Below are 27,882 nucleotides of genomic sequence, written 5' to 3' on the forward strand. Positions count from 1 at the left end.
AAAATAGCCCACGAAAACATCAAACCTTCAAAAGCCTTTGTCCTAAATGATGGCAATTCTAGAGTATTTGAAACAGTTAAAAGTGGAAGTCCCTACTGTGTAGTCAAAATTCCACCGGAAGGCTAAGCGCCGTGGCTCATGCCTATAATCCCAGCACTTTGGGAGGCTAAGGCAGGTAGATCGCTGGAGATCAGGAGTTGAGACCAGCCTGGGCAACATGGCGAAACCATGGCTCTACGAAAATTACAAAAATTAGACAGGTGTGGTGGCGTGCACCCATAGTCCCAGCTACTGGGGAGGCTAAGGTGGGAGGATCCCTTGGGAAACAGAGCAAGACCCTGTTTCAAAAAAAAAAAAAAAAAGTTTGCTGTTCAAGACTATGTTTAAAAAAAAAAAAAAAAGGCAAACCAGTCACAGACCACGAGAAATATTCACAGGATGTATATCTGACAAGTATTTGTGTCAAGAATATTTGAAGAACTCTTATAACTCAATAAGAAAACACCCCAATGTTTAAAAATGGCCAACAGATTAGAACATTTCCCAAATGAGGATATAATAATTGTCAGTAAACTCATAAAAAGATGCTCATCATTATTCAGGAAAATGACTATTAAAACTATGGCCAGGCACAGTGGCTCACGCCTGTAATCTCAGCACTTTGGGAGGCCGAGGCGGGTGGATCATTTGAGGTCAGAAGTTCGAGACCAGTCTGGCCAACATGGTGAAACCCTGTCTCTGCTAAAAATATGTAAAAAAATTAGGTGGGTGTGTGGTGGCATGCTACAGCTGTAATCCCAGCTACTTGAGAGGCTGAGGTAGGAGAATTGCTTTAACCCAGGAGACGGAGGCTGCAGTGAGCTGAGATCACGCCACTACACTCCAGTGTGGGTGACAGCGAGACTCTGTCTCAAACAAACAAACAAAAAAACCCTCCAAAAACATAAAACCAAAATGAGATACTACTTCACACTTACTAGCATGTCTAAAACTATAAAGATCAGAAATACCAAGTGTTGGCAAGAATATGAGCAACTAGAACGCTCACATATTGCTAGTGGGAGTATAAAAGGGTGTAATCACTTCAAAAAAGTTTGGAAGCTTCTTTTAAAGTTAGATATATACTTAAATGACTAAGCAATTCTACTCCTGGATATTTATCCAAGAGAAATGAAAATATATGACCACAAAAAAACCTGTACATTAATGTTCACAGTATCTTTTTCATAACCCCTCCAAAATAAAAACAGCCAAAATATCTATCAACAAGTGAATGGATAAACTGTGATATATCCATACAATGGAATACTACTCATCAATAAACGACTGAAAAAATATAATGCCCAATATGGATGAATCTCAGACGTTATGCTGAGTGACAAAACAAAGACATAAGAGTATATACTATATGATTCCATGTATATGAAATTTTATAACAGGCAAATCTAATCTATAGTGAGAATAATTAGATCAGTAGCTGCCTGGGGCAGGGAGTAGGATGGGGGATAGAGGCACTTGGGAACATTTTGTGGAGAAGGAAATATTCTATACCTTGATTGAAGTGGTCCTTATGCAGAATATATAAATATTCTGTATCTTGATACGGGTATATATACACCCATACATTCAAATGTATACCTTTCATTGTATGTAAATATATATTAGTAAGTTGATTAATGAAGTAAAGGTATTAACTATAAATTTATTTTTAATTAATTTTTTTGAGACAGATCTCACTCTATTGCCCAGGCTGGAGTGCAGTGGTGCAATCTCAGCTCACTGCAGCCTCCGCCTCCTGGGTTCAAGTGATTCTTGTGCCTCAGCCTCCCAAGTAGCTGGGATTACAGGGTGCACAACCAAACCTGGTTAATTTTTGTATTTTTAGTAGAGACAGGGTTTCACCATACTGCCCAGGCTAGTCTCGAACCCCTGACCTCTGGTGAACCGCCTGCCTCGGCCTCCCAAAGTGCTGGGATTACAGGCATGAGCCACCGCGCCTGGCCTTCAATTGTTTTGAATATCTAAAATTATGGGCTGGGTACAGTGGCTCATGCCTGTAATTCCAGCACTTTAGGATGCCAAGGCAGGAGGATCACCTAAACCTAGGAGTTCAAGGCCAGCCCAGGCAACATAGTGGGACCCCGTTTCCACAAAAAATTTAAAAATTAGCCAGGTGTGATGGCGTGCGCCTATAGTCCCCAGCTACTCAAGGGACTGAGGTGGGAGGATTGCTTGAGCCTGGGAAGTCAAGGCTGCAGTGAGCCATGATTGTATCACTGCCCTCCACCCTGGACAACAGGGCAAGACCCTGTCTCAAAAAAATAAATAAAATAAAAGTAAATATAATTATGAAGTAAAAATATATATTCTTTTACATATATGATATTATATTAGTAAAGAAAACTAAAAAGGGTGAGACAAAAAGTACCAGGGCAGAAGTTTAAATCAAAGTTTCTTTTTCTATCATACATTCTCCTCTTAACCAATTTTAATTTTATATTTATTAAGTCTTGAGACAAAGGTTGTATGTATGTATGTAGGTAGGTAGGTAGGAAGGCTAGGCAGGTAGGCATGCTCACATAACTGACCCTTTTTTTTTTTTTTTTTTAGAGATGGAGTTTTGCTCTGGTTGCCCAGGCTGGAGTGCAGGGGCGCGATCTTGGCTCACTGCAACCTCTGCCTCCTGGGTTCAAGCAATTCTGCCTCAGCCTCCCGAGTAGCTGGGATTACAGGCGTGCATCACCAAGCCTGGCTAATTTTGTACTTTTAGTAGAGATGGGGTTTCATCATGTTGGCCAGACTGTTCTCAAACTCCCGACCTCAGGTTGATCAGCCTGCCTCGGCCTCTCAAAGTGCTAGGATTACAGGCATGAGCCACCAATCCCGGCCTTTATTTATTTATTTTTTTTTTTGAGACAGAGTCTCACACACTGTCACCCGGGCTGGAGTGCAATGGTGCGACCTCGGCTCACTAATCTTCAGGTTTTCATATACCAGTCATCATCATTAATTACTGTTCATCTATAAGCAATCTTGCCTCCAAAGTTTGGAGTCCAGGACATTGTCCTGATCTTCTGGTCCTCAGACATTGCACTGCCACTACTCTTATATTTTTGCCCTTGAACACACCTCCTAAATGATGTAGATAAGACTACATACATTTAGTACCACTCAGAGCACTCTCAAGTCTCAAGGATTTGTCTAAAAAAAAAAAAAATCAAATTCTCTCTTCAAAGACTCAAATTCTAGACTTTGAGGTGCTTTTGAATCCAGGGCATTCCAAGATTTGAAGAACATTCAATCCAGAGGGAAAGATGCTGATAAATTCAGTCTGAGCATTCTATTCCACTCATATGAACCTTTCCTTCTTTGTTTATCCTCGGGAACTATTCTGAGTCCCTTTAAATATCTATGAAATGATAGAGAGGGAGGTCTAAGAAGGAGAAACTATCTCAAAGGGTAAGAACAAAAGACTTATGTGTAAGGCTCCCTGAGATGGCATCGTTTATACAACAGATAAAAGTCAATAACTTCCTATAAAACATCTAATGATTGAGGACTAAACAAATATTATAATATATTCATACAATATTGTGCAGCTCTTAAATTCATGTTATAGGTAAACATGGAAATATATATTTATTGCTAAGTGAACAAAGTACATTACAAAACAAAACATAAAGTTTGATTCTATTTCTGTTAAAAAGCAAAAATTGGCCAGGCGAGGTGGCTCACGCCTGTAATCCCAGCACTTTGGGAGGCCGAGGCGGCCAGATCACGAGGTCAGGAGATCGAGACCATCCTGGCTAACATGGTGAAACCCCGTCTCTACTAAAAATATAAAAAAAATTAGCCAGGCGTGGTGGTGGGCGCCTATAGTCCCAGCTACTCGGGAGGCTGAGGCAGGAGAATGGTGTGAACCCAGGAGGTGGAGCTTGCAATAAGCCCAGATTGCACCACTGCACTCCAGCCTGGGCGACAGAGTGAGACTCCCCATCTCAGAAAAAAAAAAAAAAAAAAAAAAAAAATCAGTGCTGGACATGGTGGTTTGTACCTGCAATCCCAGCTATTCAGGAAGCTGAGGCGGGAATACTGCTTGAAGCCAGGAGTTCAAGACCAGCCTGAGGAACACAGCTGAGATCCTGTCTCTAATAAATAAACAAATAACCAAAAAACTTCACTTATATCCAGTCATCCATCTACCTATCAGCCATCCTTCTAGGTTGGAACATATGCAGCAACATGGAACAAGAAACAGTAGTTATCTCTGGGTAGTGGATCAAGAAAATCTTTTCTTTTCCGTATTGCTAATCTTGATTTTCCTCTCTTTTTTTGAGAAAGGGTCTCCCTCTGTGGCCCAGGCTGGAGTGCAGTGGTGCAATCTAGGCTGAGTACAACCTCTGCCTCCTTGGTTCAAGTGATCCTCCCACCTCAGCCTCTCAAGTAGCTGGGACTACAGATGCACACCACCACACCTGACTGATTTTTTAATTTTTTATAGAGACAAGGTCTCATTATATTGCCCAGGCTGGTCTTGAACTCCTGGGCTCAAGCGATCCTCCTGCCTCAGCCTCCTGAAGTACTGGCGTTACAGGTGTGAGCCAACATGCCTGGCTGCTAATCTTAATTTGTAAAGTATTTCTAAATGAACATTTATTTTGTAATACAAAGATTATTTTATTTATTTTTTAGACAGGGTCTTGCTCTGTCACTCAGGCTGGAATGCAGTGGTATGATCACAGCTCACTACAGCCTCGACCTCCTGGGCTCAAGTGATTCACCCACCTCAACCTCTCAAGTAGCTAGGACCACAGACGGAGGCCACCAAGCCCAGCTGATTTTTTAAATTTTTAGTAGAGATGCTGTGTTTCCCAGGCTGGTCTCGAACTCCTGGGCTCAGGTGATCCTCCCACCTTGGCCTCCCAAAGTGCTGTGATTAGAGGTGCGAGCCACTGTGCCAGGCACCAAATCTTCATTTTGTTTGATTCTAATATGTAGATATGGGATTGATTTTTGTACAATGGCTTCATATCCAGCAACTTTGCTACATTTACTTATTATGAGAATAATTCTAATAATTTATGCTTTTTGGGGATTTTCTAAATGTATCATGTTATTATCTACAAATAAAAACAGCTTTATTTTTTCCCTTCCAACAGTCTTATTAATACTTCATTTTTTTTTTTTTCACGTCTTACTGTACTGACTAGGACCAACACAGACTGAATGGAACTGGTAACTCACCGCCCTTATCTTATTCTGTTTCTTGAGCTGCTTGCTTGGTGGTTATGTAGTTGTTTATTCTCTAAGGCTGAGGGCAGCAGATCACTTGAGGTCAGGAGTTCGCGACCAGCCTGGGCAACAGGGTGAAACCTCATCTCCACTAAAAATACAAAAATTAGCCGGTGTGGTGGCAGGTGCTTGTAGTCCCAGCTACTCAAGAGGCTGAGGCAGGAGAATCGCTTGAACCAAGAAGACGGAGGTTGCAGTGGGTCTAGATCACGTTACTGCACTCCAGCCTGGGCGACAGAGAAAAACTCTGTCTCAGAAAACAAGGACGACAATGACAGGGTGAAACCCTATTGTACTAAAAGTACAAAAATATAAAAACTTAGCCAGAGAGGGGCACAGTGGCTCACACCTGTAATCCCAGCACTTTGGGAGGCTGAGGTGGAGGCGGGCAAATCACTTGAGGTCAGGAGTTTGAGACCAGCTTGGCCAACATGGTGAAACCCCATCTCTACTAAAAATACAAAAATTAGCCGGGCATGGTGGCAGGTGCTTGTAGTCCCAGCTACTCAAGAGGCTGAGGCAGGAGAATCGCTTAAACCCGGGAGACAGAGGTTGCAGTGAGCCAAGATCATGCTACTGCACTCCAGCCTGGGCAATAGAGCAAAACGCTGTCTCAGAAAACAACAATGACAATGCAAACAACAACAAAACTTAGCCGGGCGTGGTGGCATGCACTTGTAATCCCAGCTACTAGGGAGACTGAGGCAGGATCATCACTTGAACCCAGGAGGTGGAGGTTGCAGCGTGCCGAGATCGCGCCACTGCACTCCAGCCTGAGTGACAGAGTAAGAGAGTGAGACTCCCCGTCTCAAAGAAAAAACAAAAACAAACAAATAAAAAAACAACCAGCCGGGAACGGTGGCTCATGCCTGTAATCCCAGCACTTTGGGAGGCTGAGGCAGGTGGATCACCTGAGGTCAGGCGTTTGAGACCAGCCTGGCTAACATGGCAAAACCCCATCTCTACTAAAAACACAAAAATTAGCCAGGCGTGGTGACGCGTGCCTGTAGTCCCAGCTACTCCGGAGGCTGAGGCAGGAGAATTACTTGAACCTGGGAGGCAGAGGTTACAGTGAGCCAAGACTAAACCACTGTACTCCAGCGTGGGCGACAGAGCGAGACTCCATCTCAAGGAAAAAAAAAAAAATCCTTGATGACATCTGCAAAGGTCTTTTTGTCACGTAAGGTAACATGTAACAGGTTTTAGAGATTGAAGACATAAACCTCTTTGGGGTGGGGGTGTTACTTTGCCTACCACAAAGGGTTACGACAGCTCATGAGGTAGACACAGACCACCACTTGGAAGCTTTCTCACTGCTACGAATCAGTACCATTCGCAATGCTTCAGCAGTTCAGAGAGGTCTAAGGCAAATTCCCATACTAAATGGAAAGTGGCCCAATGACAGAATTTCTTCTTCACATGGTAGCTCCAAGAAGGTGACAGGACACTGCAGTATCATTTATATGAAAGAGACTGAAAAAAAAAAAACTGAAAACTAGACATGAGCGATAGCTCTGATACAGCAGCTCCACTGTATACAGAACAGAAAATGTAGAAAATAAATTCATTTATTGACATTGCACACCACTTGGTCCCCTTCCCACTCCCTTGAGGTTAATGACTTGCTAATATAGCTTATTCTTTATCCAAAATGCCTGGGACCAGAAGTGTTTCAGATTTTGGAATATTTGCACTTTATCCTTACTGGTTGAGCATCCCTAATTGGAAAATCTGAAATCAAGCTTTGGATTTTAGAGTCTTTTGTATTTCAGATTTTTGGACTAGGGATATTCAATGTGTACAAACTCTATACTTGAGCAAGGGATTTCACCTATTATCTGTGGGTCACTCTGGGAGGCCAAGGCGGGAGGATCACTTGAGCTCAGGAGTTTGAGACCATCCTGGGCAACACAGGGAGGCCTTGCCTCTAATAAAAAAGTAAAAATAATTAGCCAGGTGAGGTGACGCTTGCCTGTAGTCCCAGCTACTCAGGAGGCTGAGGGGGGAGGATCGCTTTAACCCAGGAGGTCGAGACTGCAGTGAGCTATGATCACACCACTGCATTCCATTCTGGGTGACAGAGTGAGACACTGTCTCAAAAACACAAAGAAACAAACAAAATGGACGGGCGCGGTGACTCAGGCCTGCAATCCCAGCACTTAGGGAGGCCGAGGTGGGCGGATCACTTGATGTCAGGAGTCTGAGACCAGCCTGGCCGACATAGCAAAACCCCGTCTCTACTAAAAATACAAAAATTAACTGGGCGTGGTGGCAGGTGCCTGAAATCACAGCTACTCGGGAGGCTGAGGCAGGAGAATCACTTGAACTTGATAGGTGGAGGATGCAGTGAGCCGGGGGGTCACGCCACTGCACTCCAGCTTGGGAGACAGAGCCAGACTCCATCTCCAAAACAACAACAACAACAAAAAACTACTGTAGACAAAGAAGGTATCCAGTGAGAATCTACCTAATCTGTTCAAAGAAATGTAAGTGACCAGCATCAAATCGTAGAAACTAGAGCTGAGGTCTAAGAAAATAATCTGCAATATATTAATAAAAAGGAGAATGTAGCACGCAAATAGAGAAACAAATTATATTTTGGGGGAAAAAATGCCAAATGAAAAAGAAGGTACTATCTGCTATATTCTTTCAATTGAATTTATTTTTAAAGACAAGGTCTTGCTCTGTCCCTCGGGCTGGAGTATGGTGGCACAATCACAGCTCACTGCAGCCTAGACGGCCAGGGCTGAAGTAATTCTTCCACCTCAGCCACCTGATTAGCTGGAACTACAGGTGTAATACCATCAACCCTGGCTAATTTTTATGTTTTTTGTAGGGACAGGTTTTTGCCATGTTGCCCAAGCTGGTCTCAAACCCCTGGGCTCAAGTGATCTGTCTGCCTTGACTTCCTAAAGTGCTGGGATGACAGGCATGGGCCACTGCTCCTGACCTTCAACTGAATTCTTCAAATTATAGACTCTGTGAAGTATGCTAAATGAAAAATGAAAAAGCAAAGACAGATATAAGGGGACTGAGGCCAGGCACAGTGGCTCATGCCTGTAATCCTAGCACTCTGGGAGGCTGAGGCGGGCAGATCACCTTGAGGTCAGGAGTTCGAGACCAGCCTGGCCAATATGGCAAAACCCCGTCTCTACTAAAAATACAAAAAAATTAGCTACTTGTGGCAGCGCGTGCCCCTGTAATCCCAGCTACGCGGGGGGCTGAGGCAAGAGAATCGTTTGAACTTGGGAGGCAGAGGGGGTGCAGTGAGCCGAGATCACACCACTGCACTCCAGCCTGGGCGACAGAGTAGGACTCCATCTCAAAAAAAAAAAAAAAAAAAAAAAAAGATATAAAGGGACTGACTAAAAGGCAGGCAAAAAAAATAAAGGTTATAAGATATAATGTAAGAGAACAAATAATGCAATAGAAGACTTAAAACCTGAACTAGAAGTAGTAAAGAGTAGAATCAATGCTATAAAAATATATCAAGATGACAAACTTGAGAAACCTTCCTAGAATGCAGAAGAAAAGCAAAAACAGATTAAAGTGATGACAGAAAAAGTGACATATAGGACAAAGAATGGAGATCTAATGTATCAGGACAGCAGAAATTACTGAAGAAAAGAATAGAACAAAGAGAGTATTTGCACTCAAAGGCATATAAGGTGAAAACTTTTCTGCTTCAAAGATACAATGATTACGTTAATGCCAAATCAGTGCTCTTGAAGCACGCCTTCACCGGGGTATTACCAGCTCAACAAAACTCAAGAACTCTTCAAATTCACTTATGGTGCCACTCACATCTTTATATATGGCACAAACTGTCTCTCGAACTAGGAAGATACCTGCCTTATGTGTCTGGATCTCCCAGGCTGTGTTGGCAATACGTGTTTCGTAAGTATCTGCAGAATAAGCATCAAGGCAGGACCAAACATGAGACTAATCTCGACCAGCAATAAAGCTGCTCACGTTGCTGCCACTGATGAGCACTGGAGATATGTTTTACATTTCCTAGTAATGAACACTAGAAGCTGGAGGAAATGTTTATATTTTTCAAATTTCCTTTTTCTTTCTTTTTTTTCAGACGGGGTCTTGCTCTGAGACCCAGGCTGCAGTGCAGTGGCGCAATCATAATGAGCACCAAACCCCTGCACTTAAAAAGTTCTCCTGCCTCAGGCTCCTGAGTAGCTGGGACTACAGGCGCTTGCCACCACACCTGGCTGTTTTTAAACTTGTTTGTAGGGACAAGGCCTCACTATGTCACCCAGGCTGGTTTAGAGATCCTGGTCTCAAGTGCTCCTCCCACTTTGGCCTTCCAGAATATTGGGATTACTGGTGTGAGCCACCATGCCTGGCCCTTTTGCAGGTTTTTTTTAAAAAAATTTTATTTATTTATTTTTTGAGACAGAGTCTCACTCTGTCACCCAGGCTGGAGTACAGTGGCACAATTTCAGCTCACTGCAACTCCACCTCCCAGGCTCAAGCAATTCTCATGCCTCAGCCTCCCGAGTAGCTGGGATTACAGGTGCCTACCACCATGCCTGGCTAATTTAGTAGAGACGGGATTTCACTATGTTGGCCAAGCTGGTCTCGAACTCCTAGCCTCAAGTGATCCACCCGCCTCAGCCTCCCAGAGTGTTGGGATTACAGGCGTGAGCCATCACGCTAGGTCTGCTTTTGCAGATTTCTAAAAGGTCAAGAGTTCCTAAAGATTCAACTCCTAGGTTGGCCATGGAAATGACCCATGTGAGCTTATCATCATTCTTTTCTCTTGAGCCTCAGTATCCTCTTTTACAAAATTTGAAGGGTGTGGCTCACACCTATAATCCCAGCACTTTAGGAGGCCGAGGCAGGAGGATCACTTGAGCCTAGCCTGGGCAAGATGGTGAGACCCCGTCTCTATTAAAAAACAACAAAAAAAGTTTTTTTTGTTTTGTGTTGTTTTGTTTTGTTTTTGAGACGGAGTCTTGCTCTGTCACCCAGGCTAGAGTGCAGTGGCACGATCTTGGCTCACTGCAACCTCTACCTTCTGGGTTCAAGCAATTCTCCTGTCTCAGCCTCCCGAGTAGCTGGGATTACACGGCCCGCCACCACACCTGGCTACTTTTTCTATTTTTAGTAGAGACGGGGTTTCACAATGTTGGCCAGGCTGGTCTCAGACTCCTGACCTCGTGATCCGCCTGCCTCGGCCTCCCAAAGTGCTGGGATTACAGGCATGAGCCACCATGCCCAGCCAAAACTTTTTTTTTTTTTAATCAGCCAGGCATGGTGGCACATGCCTATAGTCCCAGCTACTCAAAATACAAAAAATTTAGCTGGTCATGGTGGCGTGCCTGTAATCCCAGCTACTCGGGAGGCTGAGGCAACAGAATCGCTTGAACCCGGGAGAAAGAGGTCCCGCAGAGGCGGGAGGATTGCTTGTGCGCAGGAATTTGAGGTGGCAGTGAGTTATGATAGTGCCACTTACTCCAGCCTGGGTGACAAAGTGAGACTCATCTCTTAAAAAAAAAAAAAAGGAGGTAATAATACTTACATGGCAGGCTTATTTAGAGAACTTAACGAAATACTGTACAGAAGTACCTAGCTCAGGGACTGATACATGATAGATACTCAGGAGATGTTATTTTCCCCTGCCGTGGATGGAGAATAATAAAGCAGAGTACCACTTTATATGATTATATGATGTGGCCAGGGAAGCTCTCTTTACCAAGGTGATAGAAGGGAGTGCGAGAGGCACACAGCCGAGTACAGAGTGTTTCCGGTTAAGAAAAGAGCAACTGCAAAGACCCTGAGGCATGAGCGCTTGGTTTGTTTGAGGAACAGCAAGGATGTCAATGTGACTAGAGCACACTGGGTTGAAGGACAGTAGGAGGACCTGAGGTCAGAGAGCTTGGGAGTGGGATGAAGGTGGGGTCACATAATGGAGGGCATCGTAGGCCACTGTGAAAACTTTGGCCTCTAAGTGAGAGGAGCAACCATCAGAAGGTTTTGAACTAAGAAATGACATGATCTCACTGATATTTTAAAAATAGACTGAAGAGTAGAAGGGGGAAGGAACCAGAGCAACCAGTCAGAAGGCATTTCAGAGAACTGAACCAGGGTGCAGTGGGAAGACAGAATTGTATCTGTGTGTGTTTTGAAGGTAAAGAAGACATTACCTGCTGATGGATTAGATATGGAAGTGTGACAAAGAAGTGCCAAGAATAACCCCAAGCATTTTGACACAAGCAGCCCAAAAATCAAGGCTGCCATTTACCAAGATGGGGAAGGGTAAAGGAAGACCAGGTTGGCGGGCAGCGGGTGGGGCAGGATTCAGGAGTTTGGATTTGGACATGTTAGGTTTGACATACCTATTTCACAGTCGTTGAAGTGGAGACCTACCTTAGTCTCACTGAGCCGCCACTGCCCCCTAGGTAGCCTGTGGATCACTACATAGGCTGAGGGCTGGTCTGCTGGCTCTGTGTTCTCCTCGAGCCAAAACACATACGTGGTATCTGACACTAGAGCTGAGAGAGCTGATGAAGATGGGGCGTAGGAAGAGTCTGAAGCTCGTTAGGACTCTTCTACTCAGCACCTGTCCCACACTAAAAGACAGCTTCAATAGCGAACTCCCCAAAGCATCCTCTGGAATCAAGACCACCTTGTGATCACCAAAGAAAAGTATGGGGATCCTCTGGCCCAAGCCATGTCATCCAGTCTCTCTTCTAACTCAACATCTTCCACATGTATAAAACAACTTGTTAGCTGTCCTCAGCCTCACATACTACAAATCCCCATTATTTTCCCATTCTGAGACTAGAAGAGCAGAATTTCACTCTACGTTTTTGTTGGAAAGGCAAAAAGTAAGTATTCCTCTTGGGAAAGAAGGGTTCTCTGATTCCCAAGATGTAGTAGCCATTAAGTGCATCCAAAGAGTATGAGTTTTTGATATATCAATGTCTAGAACCTTAATCTACTTACAGCAATTTAACCAAAGGGAATATATGCTCAAATTCTGCTACAAGAAATTGATACACTATTCATAACTGTAAAAAAATTGGGAACATTCTCTTGGTTCAATAAAGCAAAGATTGGTTAAAGAAATCTTGGAATATAAAAGAATTCTGGGTAACTATAAAAATGATTCCATATAAGAATATATTAAAAATGTTAGGAAAAAAGCAGATTACAAACAGTATATACAGCTGGGCATGTTAGCGCAGACCTATAATCCCAGCACTTTGGGAGACTGAGGCAGGTAAATCACTTGAGTTCAGTAGTTTGAGACCAGCCTGGCAACATGGTGAAACCCCATCTCTATAAAAAATACAAAAATTAGCTAGGTATGAAGGTGGGTGCCTGTAGTCCTAGCTATGTGGGAGGGTGAGGTAGGAGGATCACTTGAGCCTGGGAGGCAGAGGTTGCAGTGAGCTGAGATTGTGCCACCATACTCCAGCCTGGGCAACAGAGTGAGACTCTATCTAAAAATAATAATAATAAAATAAAATAAAAACAAATAGTATATATAAATATTAATATAACCTCCAGTTTTATTGAAAATGAAAGAGTGTGTGTGTGTGTGTGTGTGTGTGTACTATAAATTAAATACGATTATATATGATCAGCAAAATAACAGTGCTCTCACTTCTGGGTAGAAAGAAGGATTACGGATAATTTTTCCTCTTTTTATTTGTGTGTGTTTTCCAGATTTTCCACAGTGAACAAATACTCTTTTATACTAAAAACTGTTTGTTTGCTTGTTTGCTTGTAGAGACAGGTTTCTCATGTTGCCAGGGATGGTCTCAAACTCCTGGGCTCAAGCGATCCGCCCGTCTCCGCTTCTCAAAGTGCTGGGATTAAAGGTGTGAGCCACTGCAACGGGCCAAGACTTTATATTCTACATAAAGTCTCTCATATTTGTGGCTCATGTTTGGAATTTTTACTTTTTTTTTTTTTTTTTAACATCTCCCTATGTCCCTAGTATATACTTCATGTAGGTCAAAAGACTTCCTCCTGAGAAGACATTTGTGGAGCCTCCCCAAAGGCCTGTCCCCAGGGGATGTGATCCTCACTACTCTGCAGAGAAGTCAGTCACAGGGTATTCCTGCCTCCACACAGCACTTCGCTCCCAAGCTCGGTGGCTACTACTTCCCTAGCCTAGTAACTGTTATTACACGTGGGAAATGTGAAGCCGACTGGACTACCCCTACTCTTTACCTGGCTGAAAACCCAACTGATAAGCAGAGACTAAGAACTCCACAGTCTCCAACAGCGCAACAGGGAATCGGCTTTGTTTTCTATAAACAGACAGGCAAGAAAAACGTTCAGGTTAAAACGCAGTCCTCAGAGGAAGGAAAATAGAAACCAGGCAGTGGGGAATGCTTCATATTCCTACAAGTTTTTTTTTCTAAGTTAACACATGGTGTCTGCTTCTCTCTAGTCACCTATTTATCACTCTCCTCCTCAGAGAAGGGAAAAAGCCCTGGCTGTTTTCCTAGTGCAGAGCTTTGTGGCGGAGGGGGGCGGGGAGGAAGGGGGAGAAAGGAGGGTGCTTTAAGCATGATGCAAACCATTTGGAGCTGAGTGAGAGCACTGCCAACACAAGCTGCACTATTTAAACAAGTGAGGAAATGATCGTATATACAACATGCCAGCAAGCACACACACACACCAAAGGAAGTCGAGAGGGCTTTTTTTTTTCAGGACACAGAGCTGGATGTCAGCGGCTAAAAGGTCGATATTTTCCCTTAACACCCTTCTCAATGACTTAATCATGTTCCATTTGCACAGAAAACTTCCCAAGAATAAAAAAGTCTGGAGAATTAAGAGGAGGGGCGAATGGGGAGGGATGTTTGGCCTGGGGCTGACCTTATCCGAGGTTTTCTCCACGTAGCAGGGGTCCTGAGGGGCAGCCAGCAAGGGGACAAAGCCCGAGAGAAGCCGATCCTCTTCCAGGATAAGAAGGGTGAGGTCATCATCCGGGTCCTTGTACAGTGGCACCTCAGACTGATTCACTGCAGTCAGTATGTTACAGAAATCAGCCAGCGTCGACCATACATCCACAGCAACACTGTGAGAAATAAGGTAAGAAAAGAGCAGCTCTAAAGAGGGACCAGTAAAAAAAAGTATTCTCAGTATTTGTGAGCAGGGAAGTACTTGCAGCAAATGTTGTCTAGGCTGGCATCTGCCAGGAAATCATACCCCAAAAATGCTAGGAAACAAAACTGTGCCCAAGGCAGCAATCTGAGGTATGTGTATGTGGATTTATGCAAAGTTGAAATTGATTAGGGGGAGTTTTTAATCCTCACCAGAGAGGAAAAAGAATTTGGAGACTCAGTTGCCTAATGCAGGGTCCTGTCATCTTTCCAGACAGTGTGCCTGAGACGCTTACTCAAACACTCTAGACACCCAGTGCTTGTGGCTGCTCCCAGAATTCCCCACTGCTGTCCAGCCAAGTACATGCCACACAGACAGCAACTGAGCACCAGCCTCTCCTCCTCCAGCCACAGCCATGGAGGGTCTAGTCACAATACAGCAAGAGTCATGCATGTTTTCCTCCTACAATGCTTTAGAAATCTCTTCCCTATATATAGGCAGGCAATCAATCAATCAATCAACCAATCACACAAACAAACAAAAACCTCATTCCTGGCCCATCAAGATCCTCACAGGAAGGTAAAGCCTCTTACACAATTCATCAGCGCTGTCTCAGCCATTCCACACCTCTCCTTTCTCTCATTTGTGGAAGGTGAGATACAGGGTGATCAACTATTCCGGTTTGTGTGGGACTGTCCCAGTTTTAGCACTGAAAGTCCCACGTCCCCAGAAACCCCCCAGTCCTGGGCAAACTGGGATGGCTGGCTGTCCTAATTGCGTATCACCAGGTCCTGGCTGAACCTGAGAAGAAACCTTGAAACTGCAAAGTCTGGCTCTCCTTAATTGAAATTTCAGCATAGAATTATAAAAAAAGAGGTTCATTTCTCTGTCACCATCACTTGTCAAAAATCGACTGTGGGTCAGATTCCTGCTTTGGTGGGTGCTGAGGATCCATAAAGCTTTTTTTTTTTTTTTTTTTTTTTTTTGGCCTGCCCAGGGATACTACAAATTGTGGTAAGCATATAGGGCCTGCCAAGGCTACAGACTTGGCTTTCTTCTCCAGGAAAGCACCTAACCAGGAGTCTGGAACAGATAATATCCTATGGATGCTAAGTTTTACTCTAAAAGAAGAGAGATGCATAGGAGAATTACAAAGAAAAGCTTCACAATTAGATTCATGAGCTAGAGTGGCAAGAGGCAATATGTAAAGAGAGCTGTAAGAATCATCCTGGGCGGGGTGTGGTGGCTCACGCCTGTAATCCCAGTACTTTGGGAACATGAGAAGGGAGGATCACTTGAGGCCAGGAGTTCAAGACCAGCCTGGGCAACACAGTGAGACCCTCTTGCTAAAAACAACAAAGAAGAATCATCCTGGAATCTCCCCAGTGGAGTTACTGCCTATGAGTCCTACTAGGGAGGGGCCTCAGATCTAAGCAATTTGTTTCTCCTGGAGACCAAGAATCTTTGGGAGATGGCAGAAAAGAAAGCATTCAAGGGACATGCCACCGAAGGTGACAGTGGGGGAGAAAGTGGAGCAGAGGTATGGGAACTCCCTGACTGGCTCCAGGTGGAAGGAGGCTGCAATGGTTTATTTACTGTAATCATTGCACTAGGAAAAGGCAATGAAATGAAACATCTTGTTTTCAAGAGTGTCCTGGGAACCAGACGGAACACAGCCCCATTAATCACACAACGGCACATAATCAACACACGTGTACTGCAGAAGTAACTCGCTTCACAGGCTTTACCCAGGAAAAAGAACATGTTTGGGAAGAATCACCGGAGGGACGAGTTTTCTAAAGCCTCTCTCAGCGCAGACACCGACAACCAGACTCATTCACAAAGCTCCATCTTTTGGCTCAGCCGGGTTTGGCTGTCAGAAATGTTTAAATATGGAAAAAAATAAACAGTTGCAACACGTTTCTGTGCAGAGATCTGCCTGAGCTCCTTTGTGATGTAATGGGAAACGCGGCATTCAGGCTACCAGCTGTAGAATAAACAGAACTTCGAGGGTTAAAAGGAACTGAACTTTCCACGACCCCATCTGCAGAGAAGAAAATAATAAGAGGAATGATGCACTGCCCCACAGCCCTGATAGTTTATCCTCCGGTCCCGGCTGCAGAGACAAGCACCGGATGTGATAGGGCTGCTCAGGGCCGCCTCCGAGGTTAGTGCTGCCCATGGGAGACGCACAGGGAGGCTCTTCCAGTTCCCCGCTTCCTCCCCCAGTGCCCTGCTGGCCACTTGAGCCCGCTGCCTGAGTCTGATCCCACAGCACTGGTGAGCTTTGGCCAACAGGCACTGCTCGGCTGCAGAGCAGCAATTTGGAAAATAAACAGGAAAGACGACAGTGAGAAGGAAGAAGGTGAAAAGTCTCCCAGCTGAATTCTTGGCTTGGGGGCCCTGGTTGGTGCGTGCAGGTCAAGGCTGCTGCAGGACATAGTTGGGGGTTGGGGGTGGTGTGGGCAGCAGCATCCCCAGCCAGAGAGAGGCGGCCGAAAATTACCCACGGCTGCCACAGTGGGAGGCCCCACATCCCTCTCTCATCCTCCCACCCCTACCATCTTGGATCCAAGATGAAGAAATATGTGGTACCATGTGGTTCTCATTACCATGCTCTCCTGTCCCCTAAGGCTCAGATAAACCAAAACTGACTCCTCCCAGAGACTGCTGGCCACCACTAGGGACCCCTGCCCACATACGCCTTTTTGCCCATTACCACCCACCTTGTACCAAAACCTTGAGACTCACTGCAAAAATAAGGTGGACGAGAATCCCTACCTCAATGTTGATTTGTAAGAAAGCAGCTGATGCCAAAAGACACAGGGAGTGCCCAGAGTTCCCAACTCAGAAATATAAATAAAAGTGGTCCAAGAGCCAAGCTAGACTGTGCAGAACCAAGGAAATACACAAAATGCTTCAATGAGAGGTCACTTCTGCTCTGGTTAATTCAAATTGGTCTTGTGCTCTGATTGTGAGTAGCTGCCTTCTTCTGGTGTTTCAGTGGGATCACCCAAACTCAGTTCACATTCATATCATCAGTTATCTCCTTTCATCGAACACCACAGACATGAACACAACACAACTACCCAGAGACCCATGGGCGACACAGTGACTCTCTACAGGAGTGAGGGAGTGTCAGGAAACTCAAAGGAAGAGGTGCTTTGAAAAACCAGGTGAGATGTCTGAACTCAAAAGTTAAGATATTTGCAAAAGGATGAGGTAATTCCTGGAAGCTGGGCAACATCACCTCAGCTTACCCCAATCAGGCCTCTGGGCTGGGAGGTCAGTTCTGTGGGTGCACATAGGATTTCCTGTCTGTAGAAGGAGAAAAGCTTAGCTTTTTCCTGCTTTAATTCCTCATCCCAACCAGGAGCACCTTCTAGCCTTCACCCGACAGCAGCCCTTAGGCCCTATGGATTCAAGGTTGGCCAGGGCCAAGGAGCCAAAAGTCAAATTCGGGTGGCGATGAGGATCTGTAAACAGCTGCCAATCTTTTGGAAATGCTTGGGAAATAACTTCCCAGAAGGTTTCCCAAATAATCTCAAACAACTTTTGATTCTAAATGGACCCTCTAGAGTGCTGTGGACTCATGCAGGTCCTTCTGGTTTGTTCTGGTTCAATGCATATTTTAGGGAAATTCCCAGAGTCCACAATATCCCGCTAAAGTTAGGGTGGACTGTTCACCAAGCAGACACAAAGCAGCCAGAGAATACGCAACTGTGTCCAATGAGCCTGCTTATGGCTCCCAGAATGATGGCCAGGGAGTCTCTCAGCAGCTGTGATGTGATTAGAGAGCAGGGATCAGCAGTTGCAAGGTGACCCACTGGCCCAACCCCACAGAACACACCACACACCAGGACGGCAGAGCCCTGGCTGGAGTCGGAAAGCCAGATCCGAGTTTGGGACAAACCAGCAGTGACTAGTTACAAGTATGCACTCAGAACCAAGGCTCACTTGCTTCCCTACAGACATGCATTCACTTAGTCCACCAGGAAAGGAAAAAAATAAGAGTTAATTTACTTTTTATTGCCTCAGAATTCCAAGGTTTAATGTATCTGTCAGTTTGAGTGCAGTGCAGCTGCTGGCCGATACAATGCAGCCCAGGCCAGCCCAGGTGACTGGGGAAACACATTTCACAGAAACAAACCAACACACACTCCTGGCTGGTTGTTTGGGGGATATTGACTCCGGAATCAGATTAACCCTTCAGGCTGAGGTGAGTTCTGCAAATAGCTGTAGAAAGGCAGCTGACGTCCAGGGAACTGAGAAGCCCTGCTCTCAGAGGGGCCATGGGTTTCTGTGTTCCTAAAATTTTGCTTTTCTCACAGGAGAGGTTACCCAACTGCAGCATCCTCTGACAGATTAAGGTATGCCAGGTGAGACACGTCACACCACAATAATCTACCTTCTTGCCCAGAACTCAGAAAGGCAGTCTGCCAGCTTCATAGGGAAGGAGTCAGGCAGGACTTTTTCTGAAAGCTCCACTGGGGCAGGACTGAGAGGAGGAGAGAGTCTGAAAAGAGTGGAGCACCAACGCCTGACCAAGACTCAGTCCATCTTCCTGGCAAGTCTAAGGAGGATGAGGCACTCACACACTCCTTCATATTTTACTGGGGGAACAAGCTGACTGGTGATTAACATCAAGTACAATGACCCCATGTTACAAGCCTGCTGGGGCCTGTGGAGGTGGCCATTTCCTGTGTAATACCAGCTTGTTTAAACACTAACATTCAAACTCCACAGCTGCAGAACAAACCCGGAAAGAGTTGAGTGAGAAGAAGCCGTGCATTGTGTTTCAGAGCTATGGAAGATCAGAGAAGCAGTACAGATGGGAAACAAGTTGGGTCTTCTGGTTCCTGGAGTGAGGAGATCTGGAAATACAGCCAAGATGGCACAGAAGCTAGGCACAAAGAAGCTGAAAAAGAGGACACCCATGTGGTACAGACACAAAGACAAATGGCTGTAACAAGAGAACCACGCCTAAGACATGCAATATCTGCCTTTTCAAACGGTTTCCCTGTGGGCCATTATATCCTAGCCTACAACTGTCCACGCAGGGGTCAGAGGCTAACATAAGACCACTGTTGCCCTGGAGAGCTTCTCACTCCACTGGAGAAAACTGCAGGAATTCAGCAGCTAATAGCAGAAATGGACTTGAATCCAATAAGTGTGGCAGAGTTAAAAGAATAATACCCGGGCTTGAAATGGCTTAGCATGCCTCTTGGAAAGCCAAGATGTCATGCCAACTCTGTTTGCATTGGGCGAAGGATTTGATTCTGGTACCTCAGTGCTAGGTAGCTCAAGAGGCCCTGGGCTGGGCTGGAGATGGGGAGAATTCTATGCGGCTCCTGGAGATTTCTAGCAACAATGTGTCATCCAGATGCCACATGATACAAAGAAGAGACAAAGGTATCAAAGGCCACCATTCCAGGAGTTAAGATATGAGCAGCAAGACACCATCCTCTAAGAATAAGAGATGTTTGCTGGGTGACCCCTAAAGAGACCAGACTTAGATGAAGGTAATCCCTTCTATCTTTCTCATTTATACCAACAAGTCGACTTGGGACTTTGGGAGAGTACTCACCCTAAATCAATTTTGCCCAAAAGGGCAAATCAAATTCTGAAGCTTAGTCATCCTGCCCTACTGCAAGAATATAAACCTCTCCATGTTCTAAGCAGGGCAGCTGGAACCCTATGGCCAGCAATAGGTCACAGTAACCTCGTTCCAGGATTTCTCAAGTATCAGAGCACCTCAACCATCCACTGCCCCCAATATGTTCGGGGTCGGCGCCTTATTTGATTTCAGTTCTCCAAAGCCACCCTCATATGTATAGCCTCTGTCATATCACTATGGTGTGCTAAACCCATCAGCACTGTATGTTTGGGAAAGAGCAGCCCCTAGGGGATCCTGACATCTCCACGGCATGAGTGGAGCCCTCGGCGGCCTCCCTGGTGCGGATTCTCACGGTTCCTGCCTCTCCAAACTTTTAGCTGTAACCACTCCAACACGTCTTCTTAGCTTAGCACACACTGGACCCAAATAACCTCAGCTCAGAGCTGGAAAGTACTCTCCCTGGGGTCAGCTGCTGTACCCTGCTGGGGTCAGACTGGAGCCTTAGGCCAACACCCCTTCCTCTCACAAGGAGTCCTACGGGAGGCGTGGGGAGGGGACAGGGGCTCCTGCCGTGGGAGAGATCACGTGTGCCCCACACTCAGCACTTGGAGGAAGAGGAACCCCCTGGTGCCAGGCTGCAGTGCTAACGCCCCAACCCGGAGCCAGGGAGACTGGGTGGGGAGCCAGGGTAGCAAAGGGGCTTCCCACAGCCACCACCACTTCCTTCAGGGAAGTGCTGATGGACTATTACTCAGTGACCTCCTAAAATGCCCTTTTGGGAAGGCATATTAAGTGTCCTTGAAGGGGTGCCGATTAGCCTTGGGATTAGTTCTTATTTCAGAGCTGCCCTATGAAGGTGAGTGAACTAGTTGTTTTTTAACTTGAGAATTTCTATCTCATCTACAGAGTCAACACATGGAAGCTCCCTAAGGAAGTCAGCTTACTGCATACGCCCTACGTATCCCTCTTTCTCCCTATGTGACAAGACCTCAGAGGGCTCCCTACGACCCTTCTCCAGTGTGCTCTGTAGACTATGGAAGACGATCCATGGAAAAGCAGCAAGTACAAGAATTTCTAGAGTTTTTTTTTTTTTAAACAGTACTCCAATCCAACAGTGTGATAAATGCATCCGAGCTACAATTAGGAAGATATATAGCATCAGAATGCGAAGGTCTGGGCAGCCTGGTGAAACGCGGGCTCTCCAGAGCCCCAGCTATGTTTCCCATTATGTAACCCTGGTCATGGGCAGACAGCCAGACTCCAAATGAAAAAGAGACTCTGGCTTGGCACTGGTTCTATTTTCCTATCCTCATTCGGGGTCAGCGCAGTGTCATACAGCTGCAGAGAAAGCTCTGGGGATTAAACCTGGGAAAGCCTCCAAGACCAGGACCTGGGTTCAAGTACCAGCTGAAAGCAATAAACCAACTGCCACAGCTGGGCTAGGTTTGGATGTTCTCAAAGTCCCCTGACTCTTTCACTTACTGAGAACTAGAAATCAGGATAAGTGAAGATTTGGCCTCAGCAGAGACTGAAATGAGGTAGGCTGTCCCACTGCCCTAGCCTTGCCAAAGGTCCTGGGATGCAAGGGGTCACTATGCTCAGGTCCATGAAGCCTGTCGCTCTACTCCTCTCCAGCACGACTTTCCTTGTGCTCACTTGCCGAAGTAGGGGTGCAGCTGCCTCTCCCTTCTCACCAGAGGCTTGGTGTGGATGGGAACACAAACTATGCTAGCAGATGGGGCAAGTAGGTGGGCCCTCCAAACCAAGCAGTCTGTCCTAAACACACCCAGCACTCTACATTGACTTTCACAGTGGCCCCAGGCCACTTTCCACATCCTGCTATAATCCTCTATACCAATAATCTCCTGGGATTATGAAGCCATTCTGTTACAATCCCTAACGGGTACAACTGGGGAGTCAACTTGCTTCCATCCATGCTGGCTCTAACACACAGATCTAATAAGTGCCACAGCGAGGGAAGGCACACATGCCCACATGCCCAGCAATCCTGCCCTCATCACTCTGCAGTGCCAACGATACTCTCATCATCATCCTAGGTGTTCCACATGTGCCTGCTGTTGTGGTTTTGACTGGAAGGAAGAGGAGCATGGGCAAAGAGGAGAGAACCAAGGAAACTCAAGATGAACCCTGGAATTCCCCTCAGAGAGGGGAAGATGCTGTGCAATGATTCTCTAACTGCATAAGGAAAGAGGGTAACAAATTAAAGACAGGGAGGGAATGAAGGAAGAGAGATGAAAGAAGGGTCCCACATGTCAGAGGGACCATTTGGAAGTGGGGTTTCTGGAGGAAAAGCAAAGGAGACTTCCTCTTTGTAGGAAAAACAGGCTCTCTGGTCACCTTATCTTAGGATCAGAGAAATGTATCTTTGCAAAGAAGAAACTCAGGCAAAGACCAATGAAAGCATGCCAAGAAGGGGCACTAAACAGCAGCCATTTCATTCCTGCTCCCTTGGGAGCATTTCCAAACCCTTCAAAACGATGAGCAGCAACAAGGACTTTACAAGCGTCAGGGGGGTTACAGTTTTGGCATCTACAGAACCATTGGGGTGTGTTATTCTCTATGACCTTAAAAGAAAAGCCTCTTCAATCTGTAAGGTCAGTGGGCATGAGATTAAGTTTGAAACCCACAAAAGCACCATACCTTTGCCAATCTCTCAACCAGAGTATTTACTCAGTGAGTATTAGGAAGCTACATGAGAATATGGGAAACAAAAGAAGGAAGGTGCAATTCTGATTCCACTTTTCCAGGCCTCTGATCTGAAGACTCTGAGGTGGGACTACCCTCAGTGGTAGTCAGGCCAGGTTTGCTCTGTTGAACGCGGGCACCAGTCCTTAAATAGCCATGCCTTGGGGTCAGGCCCCAGGATAGCAAAGCCTCTCTTTCATGCTTAAACTCGCATTCCAGAGATAACCAGCTGCTGATCCTAACTGCAGAGAGAGAAAGAAAGAGAGCACAGAAGGAGATGTTTTTCTCTATTACACTGTTTTATCTCTCTAGCCCGGACTGGCTTCACGAGAGAGTAAGTGGTATCCACAGCTACGGTAACGTATTTGCTGGGTAATTAAATTCAATATACTATTTGGTCAGATTTGCTCTCCTCGTGAAGAAGTCTGAGAAGACTAAGCAAATATGACTCAAATGTCCCAACCCCCTCTGCCTCTCTGTAGCCCAGAATGTGAAGCCCAGCCGGGGATGGCTGTAGCTTGGACCACGTGCCTGCCTGTAGATTGAGCCCTTGCCCAAAGATGGGCAGCAGCTCAGAGCCGGCAACGGGCCATTTGCTGCAGCATCCAAAGAGAAAACAGACTCAGCATCTCAAGCAAATGAGACCCAGCACTTCCTGTGTGAGCTTTCCATTTCCTCAGCCGAACAAAAGCCAAAAGGGAGTGAGAGAGGGAGGAGGGATGAAGGGAGACATGCTGCGTGAGAGAGCTAACAGACCTGTGGCCCGGGATATGGGTAAACAGGGGCTGTGTGAATCCTATCTAAGAGACCTGTGGTTGTGAGGTGAGGTGACCCGGGGAAGGCCCAGGCTCCAAGGACAGATGGTCTGCCTCCCCACCCTGAGAGTAAGGAAGGGACACTCAGTGACCCTTGTGCATGCTCAGAAGCAGTGGCTTAGATACTTGGAGAACTGAGTCCTTTCTTGGCATTTTCGTTCCAAAACTGCAAACTGCCTAGTCCTCATTACAGATTAATAGCCTGAAAAGTTTGAGGCTGTAGATGTTAACTCTTTGGGGATCACTGCTGAGAAACAGCTGTCCCCTGGCCAGCAGATCCGTCAGTTCCTTTGTGTGGCCCCAGCTGCACAGCTTGGAGCTCCAAGGCTTCAGCCTGGAGTGCATTTTGGAAACCTAGGAGGGCCCACAGATAGGATGCAGAGAACTGTCCGATGCTGTGAGTGCCGCCCACACCGTTACAGAGCTAGAGGTGGGGAGGGCATGGGGAGACTGAGATTAATAACAGTCCAGGGGGTACATCTTGAGGCAAGTACAGGGAAAAAATTTAGAAAGAAAAGGGGAAGAATCAGACTACACAGTCCACACATAAACTGCTGCCCAGAAATCTCTGCTTTAGCCTTCCCTCTGGAGGTTACCCATGAGTCTAGGAGACTCACATGGCTGGTCCCCAAGTCAAACAAGCTCCCCTCCCTACTCCCCAAAAGTGCCCTCCAAAGTAGCCAGGGTCTCCATAATCTATCCCCCAGCATTACTTCTCTCCAGAGAAGAACACTGGAGATGCTTGTTCTGAAACACACATAAATGCATAACACAGAGCATGAAGGAGCTTTGGGTACACAGCACCAGCCGAAGACCACACTGAGAGAATGTGGGGTAGGGGAAGAAAAGGAAGAGGGAAACGAGAAATGGCCAGGGGGGTGGGGTGGGCAGGGGTGAAACAGAGAAAGACAGAGACACTAAGGAAGAGTAGAGATAAGAAAGAGAGGCCCAGCACTGTGGGAGGCCGAGGCAGGCAGACCGCTTTAGCCCAGGAGATCAAGGCCAACTTGGGCAACATGACAATGCCCCATCTCTATTTAAAAAATACAAAAAGTTAGCCGGGTTGGTGGTGCATGCCTGTAGTCCCAGCTACTTGGGAGACTGAGGTGGGAGAATCACCTGAGCCCAGGAGGTCGAGGCTGCAGCGAGCTGTGATCGTGCCACTGCCGTCCACCCTGGGTAACAGAGCGAGACCCTGGGAAAGGAAGGTAGGAAGGCAGGAAGGGAGGGAAGAAGGAAAAAGAAAGAAAAAAGAAAGAAGGGAGGGAGGGAGGGAAAAATTAAAGTGAGCAGGAGGGAGAGATGAATAGTGAACAGGGCTGAACAGAGATGGAGCCTACACGCACAGTTGTACAAACATGAACACACACAGTGACACTAACACAAAGAAGAATGTGACACATGGAACATGGACAGAGATTGAAGTCAGCAAGCTTTTTCTGTAATGAGCTAAACTGCAAATATTCCAGGCCGTGTGAACCATACAGCCTGTGGCAACTACTCAACTCTGCTCTGTAATGTGAAATCAGCCATAGACACAGTGTAAACAAGTAAGCATGGTTATATTCCAATCAACTTTATGGACACTAAAATCTGACTTTTATACAATTTTCATGAGTCATGAAATAGTACTCGTTTGATTTTTTGTTTAACCATTTAAAAATGTAAACCATTATTAGCTTGTGGGCCATGGTATGCTGATCCCTGATACAGGTGCGTGCGACACACACACACACACACACACACACACACACACACACACACACACAGCAGAGGCAGACGAAAGCAGAGGCAAAGAGAAAGACAGAGGCAGGCAGGCAGAGACAGGCCAGGACAGACAGACAGACAGGTAGGTAAAAGGCAAGGCAGGCAGATACAGGAAGACCCACATACACAGAAACCCCCTCTAACAGAGAGATCCAGACTGGCATACAGAGACATAGTTACACACAAACATGGACACAACACAGACATTCAGGAACACATACTCACAGACCCAGACACAGACACAGACTGACATGGACCCAGAATCAGCACAGACACAGACAGATACACTGGTCTGATGTGGTGGCTCACGCCTGTAATCCCTGCACTTCTGGAGGCTGAGGCGGGTGGACCACTGGAGGGCAGGAGTTTTGAGACCAGCCTGACCAGCATGGTGAAACCCCATCTCTACTAAACATAAAAAAATTAGCCAGGCCTGGTGGCTCATACCTGTAATCCCAGCCACTTGGGAGGCTGAGGTGGGAGAATCACTTGAACCCAGGAGGCAGAGGCTACAGTGAACTGAGATCATGCCACTGCACTTGAACCTGGGCAACAGAGCAAGACTCTGGGGGGAAAAAAAAAAAGGGCCAGATGGGGTGGCTCACACCTGTAATCCCAGCACTTTGGGAGGCTGAGGTGGGTAGATCACCTGAGGTCAGGAGTTTGAGACCAGCCTGGCCAACATAGTGAAACCTCATCTCTACTAAAAATAAAAAATTAGCTGGGTGTGGTAGCACATGCCTGTAGTCCCAGCTACTTGGGAGGCTGAGGCAGGAGAACTGCTTGAACATGGGAGGCTGAGGATGCAGTGAGCTGAGGTCGCGCCATTATACTCCAGCCCAGGCAACAAGAGCAAAACTCCGTCTCAAAAAAAAAAAAAAAAAAAAAAAGGCTGGGTACGGTGGTTCATGCGCCTGTAATCCCAGCACTTTGGGAGGCTGAGGCGGGTGGATTGCCTGAGGTCAGGAGTTTGAGACCAGCCTGGCCCACGTGGTAAAACCCCGTCTCTATTAAAAATACAAAAATTAGCCGGGTGTGGTGGCAGGTGCCTGTAATCCCAGCTACTCGGGAGGCTGAGGTAGGAGAATAGCTTGAACTCAGGAGACAGAGGTTGCAGCCAAGATTATGCCACTGCACTCCAGCCTGGGAGACAGAGCGGGACTCCATCTCAAAAAAAAAAAAAAAAAAAAAAAAAAGACAGCTATAGATGTGGACACAGAGACATGAAAACACAGACATACACTGAAAGAAACCTACTTGGGGACACATGAATCCCATACAGAGATATATATACTCAAGGATATACAGACACAAACAGGTATAGACACAAATACAGACATAGATACGGACATCCCACATGAACACATACAGATAACAACACACGTGGCCACAGTTGGATGGATGCACATGGACAAGTAAACACAGACAGACATGGACCAGGCACACGGAAAGACCCCTAGACAAGCGCCCAGAGGCAGACACACAGAACTTTGCGCTCAGATACAGACACTAAGACACACACAGACTTACAGACACACAGACAAATGGACCTAGACAAGCACAGAGTCGGACACAACCCAGACACAGATATAGACAAAGATAAAAGAAGTAACCATATGGGGTTCCACAACACTCTGTAAATGTAATTTATGTCACCGAACTTAGAAATAGTTAAGATGGCAAATGTTACATCTATCTCCACAATTAAAAAAAAGAAAAAGAAAAAGGTATACAAACACATAAACTGATCTACGTAAATACACCCAGACAGACACACAGACTCCAACACCTGCCCCCGCCCCCAATACACAAATGCTCTCTGCTATACACAAATGCTCTGAGAGATGCCAGACTGACACACAGAGACAGGGGGCGAGGGCAGGCTCATGGTGAGAAGACAGGGGATGAGGGTGAGGGCAGAGGCATGGTGAGAAGACGGAAACGAGGGCGAGGTGTAGTGAGAAGACGGGGACGAGGGCAGGGACGTGGTGAGAAGACAGGGGGCGAGGGGAGGGACGTGGTGAGAAGACAGGGCATGAGTGAATGGAAGAGAGATGTGCATGCATTCAGCCTCCCCACACGCTGCCATGCCAGGAGACAAACTGCAGAAGACAGCACAAGCAGCAGTGAGAGAGCCTTAAAGATGCAGAGAAGGCTGGGCATGGTGGGTCATGCCTGTCATCCCAGCACTTTGGGAGGCTGAGGCAGGTGGATCTCCTGAGCTCAAGAGTTTAAGACCAGCCTGGGCAACACGGCGAAACCCTGTCTCTACCGAAAAATACAAAAAATGAGCCAGGCGTGGTGGTGTGCACCTGTGGTCCCAGCTACTCAGGAGGCCGAGGCAGGAGGATCACATGAGCTGGGAGGTGGAGGTTGCAGTGAGATCGCGTCACTGCACTCCAGCCTGGGTGAGCTGAGATCATGCCACTGCACTCCAGCCTGGGTGACAAAGTGATACCCTGTTTCAAAAAAAAAAAAAAAAGCAAGATGCACAGAAAAACTAATAAGAGAAGATACAAAGTCTCACACACACATATCCACACAAATCCAGACTCCAGAGGCAGCTGCAGAGATGGTGAGTATGCACAATATGGAGTGAGGATGAGG

The 27,882-nt window shown here is 46.2% G+C and overlaps 1 protein-coding gene across 12 annotated transcripts in view, besides 4 other annotated features; it reads right to left on the minus strand.

Annotated features, from left to right (window-relative positions):
* Positions 1 to 27,882, minus strand: part of SMG6 (SMG6 nonsense mediated mRNA decay factor) — a 243,947-nt gene that overhangs the window by 98,677 nt on the left and 117,388 nt on the right. For 11 of the 12 annotated variants that reach the window (XM_011523769.3, XM_047435696.1, XM_005256569.5 and 8 more), the window contains one exon: positions 14,143 to 14,344. In XM_011523769.3, the coding sequence (XP_011522071.1) occupies positions 14,143 to 14,344 (202 nt within the window). Of the gene's footprint in view, positions 1 to 14,142; positions 14,345 to 27,882 lie in introns of those variants that run through there. The other variant, XM_047435700.1, reaches the window with a different exon arrangement.
* Positions 7,180 to 7,474: an enhancer, noted in NCBI's record as "tiled region #9675; HepG2 Activating non-DNase unmatched - State 15:Elon, and K562 Activating non-DNase unmatched - State 23:Low". NCBI's record gives its function as "activates a minimal TATA promoter and a strong SV40 promoter by Sharpr-MPRA in HepG2 and K562 cells {active_cell/tissue: HepG2 | K562}" and the evidence as "EXISTENCE:reporter gene assay evidence [ECO:0000049][PMID:27701403]".
* Positions 14,378 to 15,114: an enhancer, noted in NCBI's record as "H3K27ac hESC enhancer chr17:2076187-2076923 (GRCh37/hg19 assembly coordinates)". NCBI's record gives its function as "activates a minimal SCP1, AML or CMV promoter by ChIP-STARR-seq in primed H9 embryonic stem cells {active_cell/tissue: H9 hESC(primed)}" and the evidence as "EXISTENCE:reporter gene assay evidence [ECO:0000049][PMID:30033119]".
* Positions 17,963 to 19,427: an enhancer, noted in NCBI's record as "VISTA enhancer hs1445". NCBI's record gives its function as "enhancer in: limb[10/10]" and the evidence as "EXISTENCE:transgenic organism evidence [ECO:0001131][PMID:17130149]".
* Positions 20,189 to 22,480: an enhancer, noted in NCBI's record as "VISTA enhancer hs924". NCBI's record gives its function as "enhancer in: other[5/13]" and the evidence as "EXISTENCE:transgenic organism evidence [ECO:0001131][PMID:17130149]".

Source organism: Homo sapiens, chromosome 17 (assembly GCF_000001405.40).
Source record: "Homo sapiens chromosome 17, GRCh38.p14 Primary Assembly".
NCBI lineage: Eukaryota > Metazoa > Chordata > Mammalia > Primates > Hominidae > Homo > Homo sapiens.